The sequence below is a fragment of the Homo sapiens genome, chromosome 15 (assembly GCF_000001405.40).
Source record: "Homo sapiens chromosome 15, GRCh38.p14 Primary Assembly".
Classification (NCBI taxonomy): domain Eukaryota; kingdom Metazoa; phylum Chordata; class Mammalia; order Primates; family Hominidae; genus Homo; species Homo sapiens.
In genome coordinates, this window is record NC_000015.10 from 21,988,692 (window position 1) to 22,012,507 (window position 23,816).

Here is a 23,816-nt window from a genome sequence, read left to right on the forward strand (position 1 = left end):
CCTGGGGAGACCTCCATCTCTGCAAAATAAAACAAACAAACAGACAGACATAAAAACACCTAGCTGGGCGTGTTGGTATACACCTTTGGTCCCAGCTACTTGGGAAGCTGAGGTAGGAGGATTGCTTGAGCCACAAGGTCAATGCTCCAGTGAGCCGTGATTGTGTCACTGCACTCTAGCCTGGAAAACAGAGCAAGACCCTGTCTCAAAAAACAAACAGCATACGTCTTATTGTTTTGTTCGCTTGTTTCTGAAATAATCTCGTTAGTAAAGCACTATACTTGATAAACAGTCTGATTTAATGAATAAGGATTTAAACTTTAGATTTTGGAGAGACAAGATTAACTAACCGTTGATCACAAGGAGCACACTGTGCAACAAGCTACTCTGATAGGACAAAAGTCCTAGGAGGGCTATATAAGCAAAATCTCATTCAAGGACTGAACTTTAAGCCCTATTCACTTTTAGCTAATCAAGTGATGGGCAAGTTGACATCTATAGGGAAGAGAGAAGAGGATGTGTTTCTGAGCTTTCCTTCTTCAGTCAGGCAACTCTGTGATTCATTAATTTCCTCCCTTCCTTCTCCACACCCTGGCATGTTGGCCCATAGCCACAAGGTGGCAGGATAACCAGTAACATTTTATTCAAGCCAACTGAAGCCCTGCGGGGGCTTTGAAGTTCACACACACTGTCCACCTTCCACATACTGATGCTGGGAGCAATTTAGAGCAAACATCATCCAGAGTCATATTACTAGATGACTGGATTGCTTCTTTTGTCCCTCAATCCTGCTCTCCTTTCAGTGCTAACTCAAGAAAACACTAAGTTTACACTTTGCAGGAGCCCCTGGAATAGTTAAAGCTTTAAACCATTTCACATCCAACTCAATGATCTGTTACAAAAAATACCTGTTGATTTTCTGTTATTTTAATGGATACCTAGCTTCCTTTTATAAATTGGCATTACAATAGTCTGGTATTAGTATTGATCTGGAATCTATGTGCTTCCAGATCAGTCCCATTCCTTTTACTTTTAGAATAAGACAAAATGTAGCTCAGACACCATTCTTCCATGAAACCACATCTCTCTAAGAAGATGCTGGAAAGTCAGTCTTTCTCAAAAAGTAGTTTTCCCCTCAAGTTTCAACACATTACTCCACTGTAAGTTTAGACAGTATAAATATGTATAAAATATATATATATAATATATATATATTTTAGTATAATATTATGCTTCAGCTTTTCCTGCATGTTTTTCTTTCTTTTCTCTTACACCCTTCTCTGTGATCTCATCTGACAATCACTACCATGGCAACCAAGCCTCTGTGACGTTCCAGCAAGCTCATTGTCTTCTCTTCACTAAACTTTAGTTAGTAGTTGGTCCCAGTCAGTAACACTCTGGGAGGGCTCAGGCCACATCACGAAATGTGACAGGATAGCCTTGAACTCATCAATTGCTGGGTAAGAAAGAATTTTAATGCAATGGCAAACAACCAATCAAACAAGCAAACAAAAACAATAAACCCTTCCTTGAGGACCAAGAAGACATTGATTAGCTAACCTAAGAGCTCCAGGTGGAGACCTAGGTCCTGATTGGGTTTCTGAATTTGACCACTAGGCAGAAAACTAGCACCCAAAACCAGTTGGAATAAAATTACCCACCTACAGTGGAGCCAAGGCCCCCAGATCCTTTTTGTCAGGTAAGAATAGGTTGAAATAACCTGGCTGGTTGTGGGACAGGCCCCCTCTGTGAGTGGTGCAGTTAAGGACACCCAGACTGCCCTTTCACTCTGCTTTCCCTGGGGTAATGTGTATGGCTCCTAGTCTTTCACGTTCTCTTCTGTAATTCGGGAGGAGGAAGAGAAGATACTCACTGCACATATTGTGTCAGTTAATACTAATCTGAGAGCAATAATTTATGATCTTTTGAGGTGAGGTTTGATTTTTACCACTGTGCTGTTCCTGTCTCCTAATATGTTGTATCAGATTGTAACTAAGTTGAGGTGAGAATTAATTGAGGACTATATATTTGAGCCTCCTTAGAATCTCACCCACCTTTGAGATAACTTCATGTTTTAGGTTTTCTCAAGTCAGAGTGTTGAGTCCTTAAATCAGTATATGCTGGGCAGTGAAAAAACACTGGTACACTTTGATTGCCTAAGCTTAGTGAACAGCAGGGGCGGTGGGAGGCAGGCCTTTTTAACACCTGTCTTTGCTGAGTTTCATGCTGAAAAAGCCTTGAGGCTCAGACTCAGCCCACAGGTCTCTGCAATCCCTCCATCTCCCTTCTGCCCTTTCCATGCATAGCCTTCACAGCAGTTTTTTGTGAATTATTTATTTTTTTGAGCTCTCTCTTAAGGTTAATTTTTCTTAAGAAATATTTACTCTCAATATTATAAAGGTGTAGAAGTTTATTGTAGAGAAATGTGGGAAAACATATTGGCAAAAAGAATATAAGGATAAAACCATTTAAGGTTTCCCCTTCCATCTATACTTATATTTATAGTTGGGCTCTAATGGCATTTAAATGCAAAATGTAATATACATGTTTATTTATATTTTTAAAATATTAATAATTGATTAGTTAATTCAACAATAATAATTGTTAACATTCCAGACACTACTATAAATACTCATGAATACAGCAGTGAACAAAATGGATAAAAATTCCTGACTTGTGGAAGTTATATTGTAATGGGGGAAGACGGGGTAAATAAACTATGTGGCATGCTTGGGGGGCGATGAGTAAAGATGGAGAAAAATTAGAAGGTTCAGGTCAATAGGAAGTGTGTGTTGGAGGTGACAGGTGGCAGGTGTACATTTTTCCCTCAGCTTAATTAAGGTTTAATTTGAAAACATTGTACATATTTATGGTATACAAGGTGATATTTTGATATATGTGTACATTGCAAAATGATTAAATCAAACTGATTAACATATCTGTCACCTCACATGCTTGCCATTTTATTGTTGTGAGAACATTTAAGATCAACTCTCTTAGCAATTTTCAAGTATTCTTTTGGCCCTTAGTATCTGTGGTTCTGCATCTGCAGATTCAATCAATCACAGATGGAAAATATTTAGAAAAAAATAAAAATAACAATATGACAAAAAATAATTCAAATATATAGTATAACAACTATTTACGTAGCATTTACATTGTCTTAGCTACTATAAGAAATGTAGACATTATTTAAACTACATGGAAGGATGTGTGTAAGTTATATGCAAATACTGCACCATTTTATATGAGGCGGTTGAGCATCTGCTGATTTTGTTGTCTCCAGGGTGAGCTGGAACTAGTCTCCCCTAGATATAAAGAGACAACTGAACAATATGTTATTATTAATTACAGTCACCATGCTATACAGTACATCTCCAGATCTTATTGATCTTGTTTAGCTGAGACTTTGAACTCTTTAACCAATATCTCCCCATCCCCACTGGGTGTAATTTTCAATAGCTAGTCAGGGAAGGCCTCACTGAGAAGGTGATATTTGAGAAAAGACTTGAAGGAAGTGTTGGGGCAAGAAATATAAATATCTAGCAAAAGAGCATTACAGGCAGAGGAGATGGTATGTATAGGCGCCACAAGGCAGGGGGATGGCTGGCATGCTTAACACACAGCAAGAAAGCCTCATCTCTTCTTCATGCCTGCCTCACATTCAATATATTTAAATATGGTTCCTTCCCCATCATAACCCTGCAATGGCCATTGCAGAAATCACCAATAACATTCATGTGTCTAAGTCTTATGGACATTTTTTTTTCAAGACGTATCTCTTCTCAGCAGAATTCAGCACTGCTGTTCCAACACATTTTTTCCTTTGGCTTCAGTGTCAACTCTATTCTACTTTGCCTCCTGATTGCCCAGAAAACTCCCACATTTCTGGCTACAACTCCTCTATTTGATTTGTGGGCTTCTTTTCCTTTATTTGGCCATTAAATTCTGAAGCTCTGTGAGGCTGAGTTCCAGGCCTTCACATCTTTCAATGCTATACTATTGTCTAGGTCATTTTCTTCTCCAAAGCTTTGGTTATTACTTATTTGCCAATGAGTATATCAAATTGTTAATACAAATTGCATCCTCAGAGTTCCAGATGACAACTGCTACATGGTATTAATATTTGACTGCTGGATGATAGTTTTACTTGAATGTTTCAGGGGCACCTCAAACTCAACTCCAAAATTGATCTAATGAACTTTCCCAAACCACATTCCCTTCTTGCATTTCTGAGAGAATGGATTCCCATTCATCTGACTACAGTGCTACCCTGAAAGCAGATCCAGAGACTAAGATTCACCTGCAGGTGATTCATTTGGTAGGTATCAGAATCTCTGGTAGGAGAACTGGGAAGTGGGGCAAAGACCCTTATAAAGAGTGAACTATGAAGCAGTTACCAGAATGGATAACTGTGGATTAAACTTGGAATAACTCTGAGATCCAGTGTAGATAACTCATCTCAGAAACATGCTGAGAGATAAAGGGTATTCGTACAACAGTTTCTGATAGTCATTAGTTATGGACTGTCTCCTAGCGGCATTGATTCCTCAGCATGCCCAACCTGCAGCAGGGACAGCAAAAGCGGCTTCTGTGATCAGAGAAAGCCCTCAGGTAAGGAAATGCAGGGGTGAATGCTGGAAGTCAGGCTGGCATGCACTGAAGTATTAGGGTGAGGCGCCATGGCAAGGTATCTGACCATCTTTCTAACCGTTCACCTCCATTTCCAATCTTTAAATACATTTTACTTCCCAAATATGTAATAATATGCATTTCCTTCAATTTCTACCACCACCTCTACTGACTGCCTCCATCTTTTTCAAATATACTTGCCTCATTCAGCACATTCACATTGTGCAACCACCACCTCTTTTGAGCTCCAAAACACTGCCATCACCCCATAGAAAACCCCAGTCCTCTTCCCCTCCATCCATGGCCGCCACCTGGAGTGTGTTTGGCCCATGGAGGACACTGCACATTGTTGGTGGGCATGATTAAATAGTTGCTGCTTTTCTGCAGTTATCACTGTATTTTGAGTGAAAGTTTCATAATTTTCAGTGTTTTATCTGGGTTGATAGGATCCAATTTTAGTTTTTGAGTTTCTTTTTTGAGCAACTATAACAATTTTAAGGATTAACATGTCATGACATTTATTCTTTACTAGAGGTCTTCCAAAGAACAAAGATAAATTTACTTATTTTAAAAACAGAATAAAATTCATCCTGTCTTGCAAAAATACACAAAAAAACAAAAACAAATATACTTGCCTCATAATTAGTTTCACATTTACCCTTGTCCTTCTCTAAACTCTTCACTACCGTGGCCACAGTTACTGTTTCAAAAAGGGAGATGAAATCATGTCATATTCTATTCTCTGTGCCTGAAATCCACTTTTCACCCTCATCTCCCTTTATTTAAAGTATGTTATTCATTTTTCTAGGGTCTCAACTCAAGCATTCCTTTCTCAAGAAGCCTTTTATGGTATGAAGAGTGAGACAGAGTTCCCTGCGCCACCTCCATTGAATCATGTTAGGCCTTAATGTACCTTTCCTTTATAACACTTACTGAATGATTAATTTGGCATTTATTTACCTGGCTATTTTATTCAGTGTTTAGGATTTATACTAGATTGTAAGCTCCTCAAGAGTGTTCCAGGTCTAGTTTAGGTCACCATGTATCCCTGATTAGTACCACACATCCCAGTGCACCATGGTTCTCAACAAATAACATGTTATATAAATCAATAAATGACAGGAACAAAGATGTTTTTCAATTTGTATTACAATGTTTTCTACTATCTGGCAGAATCTTAGTAGGATTTAATAGAAATCAGGCAATGTCTACTCCTTAACCTGACTTTGAGAGAGAAACACTGATTTTTAAGAATCACTCCCAATTCTGACTTTTTCTCATCATTATGTGGGTGAGGTAGAGATATTTCTGAGGCTTTTTTGTTCAGGAACTTGTCTCCTTGGACATTTTAACTAGGTCATCACTAGATCATTGCTACATGAAGTATGGTCTATTGACCGGCAACATCAGTGTCAGCTGGAGACTTTTAGAAATGCAGAATCTCCATTCTGACTGGTGTGAGATGATAGCTCATTGTGGTTTTGATTTGCATTTCTCTAATGACCAGTGACGATGAGCTTTTTTTTCATGTTTGTTGGCTGCATAAATGTCTTCTTTGAGAAGTGTCCATTCGCATCCTTTGCCCACTTTTTGATGGGGTTGTTTGTTTTTTTCTTGTAAATCTGTTTAAGTTTTTTGTAGATTCTGGATATTAGTCCTTTGTCAGATGGATAGATTGCAAAAATTTTCTCCCATTCTGTAGGTTGCCTGTTCACTCTGATGATAGTTTCTTTTGCTGTGCAGAAGCTCTTTAGTTTAATAAGATCCCATTTGTCTATTTTGACTTCTGTTGCCATTGCTTTTGGTGTTTTAGTCATGAAGTCTTTGCCCATGCCAATGTCCTGAATGGCATCGCCTAGGTTTTCTTTTAGGGTTTGTATGGGCTTAGGCCTTACACGTAAGTTTTTAATCTATCTTGAGTTAATTTTTGTGTAAGATGTAAGGAAGGGATCCAGTTTCAGCTTTCTGCATATGTGATCACTAAAAAGTCAGAAAACAACAGATGCTGGAGAGGATGTGGAGAAATAGGAATGCTTTTACACTGTTGGTGGGAGTGTAAATTAGTTCCACCATTGTGGAAGACAGTGTGGTGATTCCTCAAGGATCTAGAACTAGAAATACCATTTGACCCAGTGATCCCATTACTGGGTATACACCCAAAGGATTATACATCATTCTACTATAAAGACACATGCACAAGTATGTTTATTGCAGCACTGTTCAAAATAGCAAAGACTTGGAACTAAACCAAATGCCCATCAATGATAGACTGAATACAGAAAATGTGGCACATATACACCATGGAATACTATGCAGCCATAAAAAAGGATGAGTTCATGTCCTTTTCAGGGACATAGATGAGGCTGGAAACCATCATTCTCGGCAAACTAACACAAGAACAAAAAACCAAACACCGCATGTTGGCTCACTCATCAGTGGGAGTTGAACAATGAGAACACATGGACACATGGAGGGCAACATTGCACACTGGGGGCTTTTCAGGGGTGGGGGGCTAGGGGAGGGATAGCATTGGGAGAAATACCTAATGTAGATGATTGGTTGATGGGTGCATCAAATCACCATGGCACGTGTATACCTATGTAACAAACCTGCACGTTCTGCACATGTATCCCAGAACCTAAAGTATATATATCTATAAAAAGAAATGCAGAATCTCATGCCCCTCTGACTCAATAAGCATTTTAAAAAGTCTATCAGTATTTTGCATCACTTTGTTCCTCCAAGCCTTGGCCCAACACCTAGCACATAAGATGAAGTTTTGGGTGATGAATGAATATGCTAAAAAATAAGAGTGAAGGAATATATGAAAGGAGGGAAAGAACACCATGGGAAAGTGAAAATATATCATACTATGATATTTGAGTATTAGATCCTGACAATTTAGTTTCAACACTTTTGGTTTTGTATGATATGAGGAAATAGTGTTCACTTTGTCGGTATTAAGCTCATAGGTGTTAAAGCAAACTAAATATGGCCTGAGAAGGACTTGTACTTCCATATTTGAATCCTTGTGGATGAACTGTAACCTAGCTTAATAGGCAGACAAAATTGAAAACCTAACTTACGAGTATGCACCTGCAACAAATAGCTAAGTCTTAGCCAATCTCAGTGGCCATACTTCAATCATTAATACACTGATGAGGCAAATGCCAATCTGTAACCAATGCAGCTGTTCCTGTAACTCACTGCTGATTTCTGTATGTCATTTCCCTTTTGTTTGTCTATAAATTTACCACCACATGGCTGTGCTGGAGCCTCTGTGAATCTGCTGTGATTCTGGGGGCTGCCTGATTTGTGAATCATTCATTGCTCAATTCAACTCCTTTAAATTTAATTCAGCTGAAGTTTTTTCTTTTATCATATGTCTGGAAAAATCCTATAAGAGTAATGTAAACAGCATTTGGTTTCCAGGGTGGGATGCAGTTCCAGGAGAAAGGATACCATTCATTTCTTCTGAACGCCTTCAAGAGACATGTGAATGATAAATGTGCCTGATAACATCTCAGGCACGTTTGTGTTATGAGAGGAAACTAAGGAAAATCTGAAAGTTTCTTGGGTGTATAAATAGAGATGGCTGGAAGAAGATGGGGGAAAGTGAAAGCCATAACTGTTGAGAAAATTAAGCTTGTTGAAATATGCAAATTGGGTCTCGGCTCCATACACGGTTCTGATAGTTAGGACACTGAGACTGTCTCAAGAAGACAACCTTAAAGGCCTGAGAATCCAGTCTGTTTCCCTCTTCTAGGGCACCTCCTTCCCAGAAATGACACCATTAACACTTTTTAGCACTTATGTAAAGGTCTGGATCATTTGAAGTTACATGCCACTGTAGGACATTTTCTCTCTGAGTTGTTGGTAGACATTTATACTGTAGAGAAAATTTTGCACAATTTAAGTAACTATTTAGAAAATGAAACAAAAAATGGACAAATATGAAAAATATAGAAAAATTATTAATGGCACAGTTCATTTACATCAAATTGTTACTAATACTTTGCTGCATTACTCCTATTTTTTCTACTTCGAATCATATTATGACTAATTTTGAATTCTACTTTTTATTCTATTTTTATCACTTTAATAGCCTATCTTAAGTCTTTACCCATATTTTGGGATAATCTTTAAAAATATTTACTTTAATACGGGGAAGCATTCTATCATGTACACATACTACAGTTCTTAACAATAATCTACTGGTGGATGTTTCATTTATTTACATATTCCATTCATTCTCCAGGGCTTATTTTTCAATGAGGAAGCTTGAAGAATTGAGATAGATAAGAGGAAATGTAAACGTACAAAGTAGAGTATGTCTGAGGGAGGAGTACGAAACCAAGAAGCTGAAACTCTTGTCACACTTTATTTATGTGATGATTTTAGAGCATTGGTCCTATTGGAAGGACACTGGCAGGGTTCCTAAAACAGCACATGCTGCACTGAAGAGAACCTTGTTTCTTAAATGAGCTCTAGGCAACAAGTACATTTCCTTAGAACATTTATAGAAAATATGAGATACAACGAATGTCTTCGTGTACCTATGTATTGTTTTTATCTTTAACGATTAGGTGTGCCTATCACGCAATGTTTTTTACAGATTTTGCTGTCAAAGGCTCCTCAGTGGCTGCTTCAGCCAGCAGCTAGGACTTCAGGTCAAAGTCCTGTTATGCTGATGCAGCTTCATTTCCTGAAGCAAGATCACTCCCACTTCACTCTGATGGGAGAGTCTTCTTTCTTTACAACTATTAAGCTAAGATTTTTGAGTTAACATTTTAAAAATATATTTTTCCTTTTATTTTTAGTTGACATGTAATAATTATATTTATGAGATATAGAGTACTAGTCCAATACACATAGACAATATGGGGTGATCAAATCAAGGTAATTAGCACATCGCCTCATGCATTTAGCACTTCTTTGTCTTGTGAACATTCAAAATCCTCTCTTCTAGCTTTGTAAAAATACACAATAAATTATAGTTAACTATATTCACCTTACAGTACTACAGAAACATTTAAAACATTATTTCTTGAGATCTTGGTTCTTTAGGTGACTGTTGTGGTGGTGATTAATCAGTATCATGAAAATACTTATGTTGTCTATCATAGTATTTCAGAAGACTACAGTTATAGAGCTGGGTGCATACAATTACCAACCACAATGATATGCATTTACATATTTCACCTTTTGACCTATTTCTTCATGAATATAGTTCATCTGTTTATAACTCTTATACTTGTGTGACTGTTGATAGAAGGCCTGAATGTTTATGCTTGCAAAAATGTATGTTATCGCTTATTTTATTGTGTAAGGTGATCTTTGAAGTGTTCTGCTGTGTTTTTATTTTTGTGTTTTTATATGTTACTCAAATAAATACCTTTTAAAAATGTAAATAAATATATCTTAAAGAATTTTTAAAATTATTTTTTCCAGAATTAAATTTTCAGGATTTCAGTCTTTTGGGATGGCGATTTTTGGAATTTTAGACTTTAAGGATTTTGTTCTTTTGATTTTCAACATTCGATTATGGTGTTTGGAACTGTGTCTTTCAAGATTGTGATTGATTCCAAATGCAACACAGGGTTAAAGGAAAGTGGAAAAGACATGAAAAAAATCTGAGCTGTGCCTTATCTGAAGCTGTTGTGTGAGAATTATAGAAACATGTAGAGAGTAGACATCTAAAGTTAGGTTTCTGTCTGCTGGAATACATGAGTCAACCTCATCTTCCTTGGTCTCCCATTTGAGAAAGTGTTCAGCAAAGAGGAACACAGTGGCGCTCACATCCAAAATTTCTTAGAAGGCCTTTAAAAGGGTCAGTGTTGGAAGGTAACATTATCAAGTATAGCAGTTATTTGGAGCCCACCCAATAACCATATTGTGGTTACAAGCAGATGTAAAGGGCACTGCAGTCTTTCCTGATTTAGGAAGCAACGATTACACCTGACTCTTTAGGAGAGTATGTAGCAGACACATTTTGAGCCGTGGCTATCATACCCTGGACAGCTCCTCTTGGAGGAGTGGTGACTAAGAGCACGCTGTGTGTACACTCAGTCTTCACTGCTGACCTCCAGTCTCCACCTGCTTCATTTTTAAATAAATGTGCCAAGGTTTATTTTTGACCCTTCTGGATCATCCAACATTTCCAAGTGGACTCATCTAGGGATAACAGTGAGAAAGTTTTGGGAAGATCTCAAAAAGTGTTTCTTAACTGAGATCTTAATTGGTTCAGCCTTTAGGGAAAAAGGGAAAGATGATGAGGCTTGGGTCTAATCTGAATAATCAGTTGACCTTAAGCCTGAATCAGAATATCAAATATAATTGGAAGCCTTGATATATGTTTTTATACTAACATAGCTATGTTTTCCCACAAAATAGATGATACTGGATTTAGGACTGAAAATGTAAGAACAAGGGGTTCTATGAAGTCCAAGGATATAAAGACAGAAGTCAGTTATGGCAAAGAATTTACAAAATGCTTCAAAGGCTTATCTATCTCTTCCCTTCTTTCTACAATTCTGCACATGTGCCAGCCCCAAGGGTTCTGTACTTATGTTGAGATTTTTGGATCAATATCTGTTTTAGTGGTACTTAACTTTAAACTATTTGCCCACTTGTTTCATGAATTTGTCATTTTAGTTTCACTTAAGAAGTACATTGTCAAACTATAGTGAATTTGGCGAAGAACAACTAGAGGGGACTTAGAAGTACGGAAAATGAGTAACAGTAGAAGGAATTGGGATATTTAAATTGGAGAACAAAAAGTTTTATTGAAACAAATGAAGGGTAATTATTTAATAAAGCAATTGAATTTGTCCCATTTAATCTCTAAAGTACAGAATTACTATAATTCTATAGGGTGACACATTTTAATTCATCATGGAGACTTACTTTTTAACAGAGAAATATATGCAATGATGGAACGAGCTGAAGAACAATACTTTCTATCAGTTGCTTTTGTCAGATATAGGTTGGGAAAGTGGGAGAGGGTATCTAAGCATCAGATGCAAATTTCTTTCAATCTTGAAATTCCATGATACGATCTAAGATATTTCAAGAAAAAAACCATTCAGGTTGATTTCAACAACATAAAAAACTGTAATGGAAAATATTAAGGCTAATTAGAACGTGAAGTTTTATTAACATTGATAACAATAATAATATTTTCTAAGGAACACTAGTTGACAGCAGACAAAGGGAGGGGGGATGAAATACTGGACTTGTGGTCAGCAAAGTCCCAGGGTTATGCCACAGGACTACAAGTACTCCAACTCTATTAAGGAATAAATTGCTAATTTTTTTTTTTCCCCTGAAGCAATGTGTGTGGAAGTCTTTCACTTTCTGAGCCAAAACTTGAGGAGCTGACCCTGAGGTGGCAGTTTTCCTGGGGGAGCTGCTTAGATAGCTTTTCATGCAGGGATAGTCCCTCAATGCATTACCTTTTAGAGGCTATGGCATCAGGCCTCTATCCAGAAGGGGAGGAGGACTAGAGAGCGCTCAGGGGAGAGGGCGATAAGAGAGAGATTTGCTTGTCTAGGTGATGTTGCTGAGTAGCCCAGTGTGGACTCTGTGTCAGAGAGCTCCAAAGTACAGCAGCAACTTGGGGTCTTTACAGCCCCAGAATTTATCTTATCTATGGCATTTGAGTTAACAGGATTCAGCTTACTGTAAAGAAGTAAACACCCTAGGGGGGCTATATAAAGAAGCCCTCTTTGGCCCATTTGTCTAACAGATGGTCTCTGAAATTGTTTGCAGTGACTTTTTACCTTTTTTTTTTTTGCTGTGTTTTTCCAGATTTAGACATTTATACTTTCTCTCAAGCTCATGTCATGCCAACAAAAAGTAGAGAATTAAACTAATTAGTCTACACTAAGGTTTCCATTTACAAAAGAGAATTTATTTTAATATTATGAAAACAACATGTGCTTATTTTAGAAAAAAATAATAACACAGGAAAGTATAGGAAGTTTAAATCATCCACAATACCATTTCTAAGACCATTTCTAGCCTCCTCTGTTTCTCTGTATTTCGTATATTAGATATCTATGTAATTATTTTCAAAATTGGAATCGTAGTGCATGCAGTTTTGTTAATACTTTTGTTTAATATATCATGTGTCTTTCCCCATAGCACTATGTGTTCTTTGAAACATGATTCTTAATGAGAACATTATAGTCCATTTTTATCAATGTACTTTATCCTTCTGTTTGGGGGCACTTATAATTTTATGCAAAATCTCTGTAAATTTGTGAAAATATTCTCAGAAATAGATAACGTGTGTGTATTTTTAAGATGTTTACCTCGTTTTTGCCCATTTAACTCCGTAGCAAGGTAAGCTGTCATCAGTTGGAGGTAAGCGGAAGACAGTAGAGAGTACAGAGCCCTGGACTGTGACTCAGAGGATGAGCACCAGATCCAGTTTGCTGTGCCACAGTGGTAAGTCACCTAATCTTTATGTGCTTGGATTCCTCATATGTAATACAGGATCACAACTATTGTTCTCACTCATGCAATACTACTATTGTGAGAACCTCATGAATTAGAGAAACTCTGAATTTGCAATTTAGCTTTAGAACACTGACAAGTAGCTCATTGATTCTTGCCTCATTCCTCTGGAATAAAGTAGCTTTTTATCAAACAAGTGAACACATTGCTTTCAGTGGAGGCAGAAGGAATTCATTTTGAAAAATGCACATAGCATTCTCCAACCCATTTTTGCATATTCTTTTTTAAGGGAATGCCTTGTGTGAGAGGACTAGCAGGGTATCAGAACTGTTTTTTGAAAGAACTTTGTTTGCAGGTGCTTTCAAATATGTTGTCTTCAACTATCATTTTCAGTGTAAAAAGCGGGCTTGGAGTAAGCACTGCCTGCAGACCACTTTTGTGAGCCCTCCCTTCAGTGATGTGATGGCAATCCAGGCCCCTGCTGGGAGAGATTTCTGCCTGGTTAAACCTCTCACAGCTTCTAATCCTCTCTTTCTCATCTGGCTTTCCTTAGCCTTCTCCAAAGTCACTCACAGAAGGCATCCCACTCAACCTCACCTTGGGGTAAATCAAAATAGTCCTCCTTCTGAAGCTACCGGGTAAAGCGGTGGTAGCTGTGCAGCTGCTGCTGATCAACAGGCTCCAGAAACAGCAGCAGGAGGTGAGCAGTCCCTGCGTTGGCCACCAAGTGGTAGGTGGCCAGCCCTACCTCCAAGTTGCACTGTTTACTTATTCATCTTTCATGGTAAAGCCTCCAGTTGCCTATTATGAAATCAGCAATAATCATGTGTCCCCTATCTGGGTCCCTGAAAAGATGGAAAGAGGCAGATCAGGCTGGTGCTCTGAGAATGACAGACATCAAACAAGAATGAAAAGTGTCACCCTCCTTGGACTTATTCAGTAACTCATGCCCTTGAGCAAAGGAGGATTTTCTATCAAAGGACATGGATTTCTGTGTCTTTCTCTTGAGATAACATTGCTGGGTGACCACAGAAAGCTGGCTCTGGAAGCACAGAAGCTGCCTTTCCTTGAGTAATAATGTCTCTTCAAAGGGAGCTGGAGCATGAGTAGTGTACATGCCTCAGATTTCAGTGAAAAGTTCAGAGGAGGCCTGAGAAGGTCCTGGGAATGAATCATCTAGATGACTCAACCTTGCAAAGCCATCCACCTCATTGTGGATATCATTCAATACATTTGGTGCTCCATCATCCTATTTCCATGGCTATTTCCTCACATTTTTCAAAGTCCGTTTCTTGAGCCCTGACTGTGTCAAATAGCATGCCCTGTTATTCTTGGGCTTCCCTCTCTATTCTAGCATTCAGGGAGATTTCAGAGGCTGGGGTAAATCTCAGACCAAGAAGACGCAATGGTTTTGAGGTAGAGATCCTAGGAATATAGAATTCTGAGCTATGCAGTGGTCCTTTGCTTTCAGGAAATCAAGTTTGATAGTATCACCTGAAGCATACTTACATTATCCACAAATGACAGCTCCTTACTTGAGCAGTTAAATTGTGGCAAGTCTTAACACACAGATTCCTCTTAAATGCCACCTAATCCCTGCCTGGCTTCAAGCCTCTGGCTTCCCTTGGAGAGGGGCAGAGTCTCTCTGTGTGAGAGATTCTTCATTTCTGCTTTCTGCTCTGTCAGTTTCTACTTACTTGCTCTTCCACCTTGTCCACAAGGCTTATCTAGCGGCTGTTTACCTCTGAGCAGAGAAAATGGAAGTCAGCAGAGACAAGGTTGAAATTTCTCAGGAAGGATTTTTTTTTCCACTTTATCGTGCAGCAAGAGTAAAGCCTTTTTTTCGGTGATTCTTTCCTCCACAATGGCCATTGGCTGCCCTCTGTCACACACAGGTGTGACTCCCTTGTTATTAACTGTCAGGTGGGAATTTCTAGGGAAGAAGGAGAGTGCTTTGTTAACCTCTTAACATCTCCCCAAATTGCATCATATTCTCTCCCTTTTCCCTCCCAGCTACCTTTTCTATTTTTGATTTCCTCTTTTTCAGTCTGATTTGGGGATTTCAGTTCCCACTAACTTTGTATAATATCCTCCTATCTCTGAAAGAACAAGTTCCATCTCCATTTTCCAGGAGAGTTTTTTTCCTTGCAGTAAGAGCACCCCATCATCTCTCCATTTCTACCTCCCCATCCCAGTGCTCTCTTTATGGCAGTATAATTGAAGAGGGACCCACAGTCTTGCTGAAGGAACATGACCTTCCTACTGAAGTTGGGATTACGGAATAGAGGGAGAAGAGGAAAGATGGATGTTTATCTGAATGGTCGGATCTTGTTTTCCAGAGGACACAGGCCAATGGGAAACTTTTGGGAAGGAAGTCAAAAAATCAAAGCCAGAACTGGGTTTTGGTAATTTAATCTCCCAAAGAGAGAAAAGTCCCCATACTCTAATTCATATTTTGTTTGACTTGACTGAAGCCCTTTTGAATATTTTTTCTGCTTCTGTTCTGTTCTTGCAATAACAATGACATAAGTTTGCCTTTGGAGACATTAAAATAGTTTTCTCATCTCTTGTTCCAAGCATTTATTTTATTTTATTTTTTTGGCGTATTTATTTATTTATTTATTTATTATTACAGTACTTTTAAGTTTTAGGGTACATGTGCACAATGTGCAGGTTAGTTACATATGTATACATGTGCCATGCTGGTGCGCTGCACCCACTAACTCGTCATCTAGCATTAGGTATATCTCCCAATGCTATCCCTCCCCGCTCCCCCAACCCACAACAGTCCCCCGAGTGTGATGTTCCCCTTCCTGTGTCCATTTGTTCTCATTGTTCTCACCTATGAGTGAAAATATGTGGTGTTTGGTTTTTTATTCTTGCAATAGTTTACTGAGAATGATGATTTCCAATTTCATCCATGTCCCTACAAAGGACATCAAGTCATCATTTTTTATGGCTGCATAGTATTCCATGGTGTATATGTGCCATATTTTCTTAATCCAGTCTATCATTGTTGGACATTTGGGTTGGTTCCAAGTCTTTGCTATTGTGAATAATGCCGCAATAAACATACGTGTGTGTGTGTCTTTATAGCAGCATGATTTATAGTCCTTTGGGTATATACCCGGTAATGGGATGGCGGGTCAAATGGTATTTCTAGTTCTAGATCCCTGAGGAATCGCCACACTGACTTCCACAATGGTTGAACTAGTTTACAGTCCCACCAACAGTGTAAAAGTGTTCCTATTTCTCCATATCCTCTCCAGCACCTGTTGTTTCCTGACTTTTTAATGATCGCCATTCTAACTGGTGTGAGATGGTATCTCATTGTGGTTTTGATTTGCATTTCTCTGATGGCCAGTGATGATGAGCATGTTTTCATGTTTCTTTTGGCTGCATAAATGTCTTCTTTTGAGAAGTGTCTGTTCATATCCTTTGCCCACTTTTTGATGGGGTTGTTAGTTTTTTTCTTGTAAATTTGTTTGAGTTCTTGTGGCACATATACACCATGGAATACTATGCAGCCATAAAAAATGATGAGTTCATGTCCTTTGTAGAGACATGGATGAAGCTGGAAACCATCATTCTCAGCAAACTATCGCAAGGACAAAAAACCAAACACCGCATGTTCTCACTCATAGGTGGGAATTGAACAATGAGAACACATGGACACAGGAAGGGGAACATCACACACCGGGGCCTGTTGTGGGGTGGGGGGAGGGGGGAGGGATAGCATTAGGAGATATACCTAATGCTAAATGACAAGTTAATGGGTGCAGCACACCAACATGGCACATGTATACATATGGAACACACCTGCAGGTTGTGCACATGTACCCTAAAACAAAGTATAATAAAAAAAAAGGTAGGTATCAAAAACATAACAATTCAAACCCTCTTTTAATTAAAGTTGGTTCTTGTATTAGTAGTAAGCAGGGAGCTTGGGGGGAGAGATGTGTACAAGTGTAGATGGGAGGTTCCCAGGTAAAGTTCTTGATTGGGAAGGTTCATTTGATTGTATGACATGTTCCTCCATTCTCTCTGTCTCTGTCTCTGTCTTTTGTTTTTGTTGTTGTTGTTGCTCTAAGCATCTAGAATGAAAACCACAAGGCCAGGGTTTGCTATCAAGGACCACTCTTTCCTTTGCAGAAAAAGCTGGTTCTGAGTGAAATAGAAGGACTAGGGTGCCAAATTAACTCCTCTCCACAAAGTGACCCCACATGGAAAAGTACTTGAGAAGCTCTGTAAAGACATGGTAAAAGCTTACCAAAGACAGTAGCATTATCCTTTCCCTTACACACAAAGTGGAGGGGAAGTGTGGGTAAGTGGTGTGTCTAAAAGCATTGCTTTAAATTATGCATCCATTTGTAAACACTAATTTTTTGTTAACTCCATGTTGTTTGTAAATTGAACAAAAAATGCATATTTGTCATGGAAAAATTAGGAAATAAAGATATTAGCATAAAAGAGGAAACAACGAATCTTAATTACCCATAATCCCATGACTTCATGTTTGTGTAAGATTATATAATACTATTGTTTCATGATCTGCCATTTTCACTCAGTGACATATTTTGCACGTGAAATACGTTTTACATAAATATTTGTATAATTTGACTAGTTATTACCTTAAAACTACTGGAAAGAAATCCCTTAGTTCTTCTACTTCACTCATTTCTTCTCTACAGTATTCATTTCTGGGGTAAATCCAGCTCTTTGGCTTGCATGGCCATGTAGTTCTGAAGTTAGCTACACAGGACTTAGCCACATTTCCCAGAATAGGATGTATGGTACAGCAGAATTCTTACTGAACTTGAAGTCAGAAGAACTGGTTCCTTCACTTACTATGGGTGACCTTGGACAGTATACTTGATTTCTTTGAATCTCATCAGTGAAATGAGTATGGGAATGTCTACCTTAACTGTGTGATGACAGAATTTGTGAGGATGAACTGAACAACTATATAAAAGTGTTTGGGAAATGCTGAAGAGCCCTACAAATGAAAGACATTAATAATATTAACTGAAATAGATTCCATAAATACTATGTGTAAGATCCTACCTTGATTTACCGCATTTAATCATCAAATCCACTGTCTGACAAAAGTATTATCATTAGTTCTATTTTATAGTCTAAACAAATCTAGGCAGAAAGGTCAAATAATTTGCATAAGCTCACACAATCAGTGACTTAGATTTGATCCAATCTATTTCATTCGATAGTGTTGGTCTTTTCCCCTAATAGTAGTAAAAACTGTGGGCTCCATTGTTAGCCTGCCTGAGATCAGATGCCATCTCCAACTAGGCAAGTTACCTTTTCTGCCTGTTTCACTCTTCAAAAATTAGAGATACAATAATACCAACCCAATTTCTTTGGGTTTCATAAGTAGGAAATAAAATAATACATAGGAAAGACTTGGAACATTGCCTGACACAAAATAGGTGTCTTAAAACGTTAATTATTATTATTTTCAATGTTGCCAAGACAGTGAACCCTGTGGTGGTGAATTTGCATGTGAAAACCTGTTAAACTGATACACACTCTTTCTTTTCTCCTAATATTGTCGCACTTGCACCTTATGTCCTAAGTTTTCTAGTAATCTTGAATGTACATAATGTTTAGTTGTGAAATAAATTTTGCTTTGTGAGGGAATTAGTTGTAATTGAGGGTAGAATCAAAGTTTGTTCAGCGAATTCCATCTATTCAGTTGTAAAGGCAGCGAATAAACACCATGACTTGTATTTGAAAGTAGAAAATACCGACTTTCAATTGTCATTTCCCCCGAGGAAACCATTAACCAGCACAATTGTTTTTAAATATCAACCTGAAATAACACTGTATTTTTACTGCTATTCTTTCTCTCTCCTTCTCTCTCTTTGGGATACAGTTTGGCTTTGAAAAAATATGGTATATATGCGGTGTTTGGTCAAATAATTTAGCACTATGGAAAAGGTTGTGAACCAGTCATAGTATTTGAGGTTGTAAGAAGAAACCTTTGAAAAGGTAGTGGCTGCACAAATGTATTAACTTAGTACCACAAAGTAGGGAGTTCTGAAACTGTGGTGGAAATATTGCCTGCCTTGACTACCTGTTCTTCCTGAGTCCATTTGCTGATCAGAACTCAGGTAACTTAAAAGTCATATACCCTGGAAAGGAGTATGGAAACAGGAAAGATCCTCAGCGGCTATACAAGTGAGAGATATGGCAGAGTTCTAATAAGATTGACTAAAAGCTTGATACTGTCTTACATCCAAGGAGCAAATAATTGTTCTACCTGGAATGTCCAGGCCCCAATTCACAAATGCATTCCTACCTTTTGAACTGAATAATGATCTCTTTCCCAATAAACTGTTATAAGACAAAAAATCTGAAAGGAAAATTGTTGCACATACATCATATTCTTATATTCTGTATTTTCTGGGACAGTCTGTTTCAGATTAGATGATGAGTCCTAATTCAGGTTTGCAAAATATTATCAAGGCAAATCTTTATGGAGATTTTATTGAGATATTATTTTATAACAAAAAATGGGATAACTGTAATGTTCATCAAAAAAATTGGTGGTAGAAGGAAGGAAGGTGTTGGAGTGTTCAGTAACCTTACCCCAGAATGCCACAGTACAAATTCTGTGAGAAGTCATTCTTGTGTAGTAGAGGCGTTCATTTTTCTCCTAATATCCCTTCTGAAAATTCCCTTTTACTAGTCAGCTCTTAGCTTCTTGGAAAGAAGGCCCTTCGTCTAGGACAATGTTCATCTCCCCACATAAAAATTCACAATTCATGGCATGTTAGTTCAATAAAATATTATGCTTTCTAAGAATGATAATTATGAAAACTTGCTATAAATGGGAGCAAGTTCAACATTAAATCACATGAAACAGACATATTAACAAAAATAGATACATTAGAGCAATTGAACTATAAATGCTTTTTTCCTTTAAAAATTTTCCTTCATGTTATTTTCACATTCTTTTAGCAACAAATGACAATGAACTGCCATTGATTTTATTTTTTGAACTTAAGCAGTGTATCCACAAGTACACCATTGCCCTGTCCAATTTTTAGGGGGAGATATTCTATTATCTAAAACTCAATAAATTGACCCATCACGTTTTTGGTGATACCTTATTTAGGTAAAAATATTAGGCATTTAGAAGAATGCATTTGTGAATATTTTGACTGATATTACTATAGATGGAATTAGAATCTGCCCTTTAGGGGCTCAGAAGGAAGTAATGTTTGGATGTCCTTAGGCTAGAATATTTTATTGTCCCACAAAAATGTTGATAAATTGCTTATAAGGGCTTATTTATTAGAAATGACCATGTCACCAAATAATAAAGCCAAATATGATAGGAATCACAATCAGAAAATATGTTTTTTCTTCTTTTATTTACAACCAACCAAACAAAATAACATAGCTGTAATTTTGTCAATGTCAGAACAATAAATTTAAGTCAAATAGAACTTAAAGAATTTTTATCACAGATGAATCAGATGGAAACTATCCAGAAAACACCCAAATATGTACATTCCTCAGTTAATACTCAGTCTAGGTGCCAAAGGGAAGCCACACGCTTCCATTTATCTATATAATTTGGCAACTTTAATTTGTAAGGGGCCCAACAGGTGTTTAATTTCATAGGCTGATATAGTCAATATTACTAGATCCATATTTTTTAGATTTAAATAACTATATAATTCTGATTTCTCTTTGTTAGACTGTACTGATCTGATCATGGAGGAATAATCTAATATGGCTTAGATTATGTTGGAACTCCCCAGAACTTTCCTCAGGGCTGCCTTTATCTCCTTATTCTGGAGGCTATAGATAAGGGGATTGAAGAGTGGGGTCACCATAGCATAGAACAAAGTTTTGATTTTCTGCATCCCCATAGAGTGTCCAAGTCCTGGACTCACACACATGACCATAAGAGAGCCATAGAACAGTGATACCACAGCCAAATGAGACCCACAGGTAGAGAAGGCTTTATGTTTCCCAGTGCTCGAAGGCATACCCAACACAGCTTTCAGGACAAGAGTATAGGATCCAATAATAAAGAGGAAGTTACCAAAAATAACTAATGAGCTTAGAGTGTAGCAAAACAGTTGGATTCTTGGGGCAGAGACACAAGCCAATGCAAATAGTGGCCCTGGGTCACACACAACATGGTCATTAATGTTTGGACCACAGAAGGGCATCTGAGAGATGAGAACAGTGGGGATCAGGAAACACAGAAATCCACAAACCCAGCACAGTATGACCAGTTTGGCACAGAGATGCCCAGTCATGATTTATTAGGATAGTGCAAGGGATGGCAGATAACAAGGTACTGATCAAAGGCCATCACAGTCAAAATCAAGCATTCAGATGTACCCAAAGAGAAGAAGAAATAAAATTGGAGAAAACATCCAGCAAAGGAGATGGTTTTTTTCTCTGAAAGGAAGTTGACCAACATCTTGGGAACTGTAGAAGAGACATACCATATCTCTAAAAAGGAGAAATTTCCCAGGAACATGTACATGGGAGTGTGACGTCGCCGGTCACACCACAGGGCGCAAGCAATGGCTCCATTTCCTGTTATGGTCAGTGCATATGTTGTAGTGAAGAGTGAGAAGAGGAAGATCTGAATTGTCCACTCAAAAGATAAATCTTGGAGTATAAATTCATTTACTAAAGCAAAGCTGGAATTTGGCTCAGAGACATTCATTGGGCCAGTGACCTGCAAGGTCAAGAGACACATTATCAGTCAGGACTGTTTTACAAAATGAGTTCCTTTTTTAAGAATGAAGAGAAGACAATGAACATGAAGTCATTTTTCAAAAGAATAATTAGGAAGAGAATATAGTTTACTTTTTCTTGGCTATACAGTATATGAGTTTTGGGCTTAGTAGGTAGCTGATTGAACAAAAACTTCTGCCAGCTTCTAAATCTCTCCTTAATATGCAATCGTGATAGAACTAGGTAAAGTTAAATTCCTTTTGTAAGGTCATTATTTTGGGACAGAAATGATTTAATATAGTTTCTGGATAGCATACAACCCAAAGTTAGTACTTTGAGAAGGCACAAATGTGTTAGTTTCTTACTGCAAACCCAACTTATAGTGCAATAGACTCAGCAAGGAAAGTTTTGACCATTTACATTTCAGCTAAACATATTACTTAACATTATTTACATATGCAAAAGAAATGCACATATTTTAAAATAAATTGGTAGCTATCACGTTAAAGCCATTATCTCTGAATTTCTATTGCTGCTGTTGTTAGCTTAAGTGATTATCTAATGTTGCTTACCAATATTGACTTTTAATATTAATATTGTAAAGCTGCATTGTTTTCTGTAGAAAGGGAAGGCTTTAAGTTTCTGATTAATCTTTTACCTTAATTTCATAAACTGATACAGTGATTATTATATTGATAAAATCAATACAGTATTGATTTAGTCATTATGTACAAAAGTTTGCAAAGATCTAGACATTAAACTTTATTTTTGAAGGTATTTCATAAAATTTGGAGATTGATTTTCCTTATATGCTTTTTATAAAATTGAAAAATTTTACTAAATGACAGAAATTAAACACTTTTTTTTGTTATAGGTAAACTTCCTCCTACATTCTTCTAAAAATATATTTAGGGATTTGAGTTACCTGAAAAAACTTTTTTTTCCTCAGAAATATGGAGGGATGTGAGTTCTAGACGTCAAGAGGGCTTGCATTTTGAGAAGAAACACAAATTTTCAGAAGTTTTTCTTCCAATTTGATCTCTACACCAGTGCTCTAGGAATTCTTTTGGTATGACTAGTTAGAAGTTATGTTTGTGCCTCTTTTAGTAATAGATGCCTCTTTAATTGGCTTCCAACCAGAAACATTAATAAACCAACATTAGGAAATTATGGAAACGGATTGACATGGGAGTGTCATGATTCTCAGCAGTGCTCAAAAGGTGAAGCCATCATCGTTTTGACATGAACCAAATCTCTAAATGATTTATTTTATAAACCATATTCTGCCTCCACCTAGACAGTTTTATTGTGGCCCCAAAATTAAAAATGCACTTTATAAAACTCACTTTCTCCTGGGATGTAGCTTCTATAGCATTAGGAAAGTTATCTTCCAAGCCAATGAATCTTTAAAAAGTTAATGATTAGATATTCTCTGAAGAATCAGTAAAGAGTAATGACAACTATTCTAAGACATCATTATTTACAAAGAGCTTGCCCACCAGACGGATTCCAAAAAATCTTCCAGAAGACACAGTCTGAGGAGAAATAAGATACAAAATGTTACCAAAAGTTCTGACATAATGTTTAGGAACATTTCAAGTGTTACTGTGCATATATGTTGGAGGATATACAGCCCAGTGAGGAAAATACTGATGTTCCAACATTGTCACATATTGAGCAAAAACTTACAGAATTTAGAAATAACTTTTAGAAGGATGGCACTTTTTTGGCAGATTCCTTTAGATATGAGAAAAAAGTATAAGAAGTAGCAACGTTTAAGTTAATTGACAGAAATACTTGAGAGGAACATGTGACTTCCCAATTAACATGAGAGAAGTATTGACTTTTATTTGTGTCCCTTCTATTTTTACTTTATGGCATTTAGGGGCCAATATAGTGTAGCTAAACACTCATGTGTGAGTGAATGCTCATACCAAGTGCTGTGAAGTAGTTGAGGACATCAGGGATGTATGCCCTAGGACTACAGACATCTGTCTAAA

General features: G+C 37.4%; 1 long non-coding RNA gene and 1 pseudogene across 1 annotated transcript in view; one reads left to right on the top strand and one right to left on the bottom strand.

Moving 5' to 3' along the window:
- Positions 1–1,388: 1,388 nt before the first annotated feature.
- OR4M2-OT1 (OR4M2 overlapping transcript 1) overlaps positions 1,389–23,816 on the top strand; it is a 105,539-nt gene continuing 83,111 nt past the window's right edge. Inside the window, exons 1-3 of the long non-coding RNA NR_110480.2 lie at positions 1,389–1,460; positions 4,164–4,321; positions 12,975–13,083. This is a non-coding gene — a long non-coding RNA (OR4M2 overlapping transcript 1). The remainder of the gene's footprint in view (positions 1,461–4,163; positions 4,322–12,974; positions 13,084–23,816) is intronic.
- Positions 20,858–21,804, bottom strand: OR11H3P (olfactory receptor family 11 subfamily H member 3 pseudogene; annotated as a pseudogene).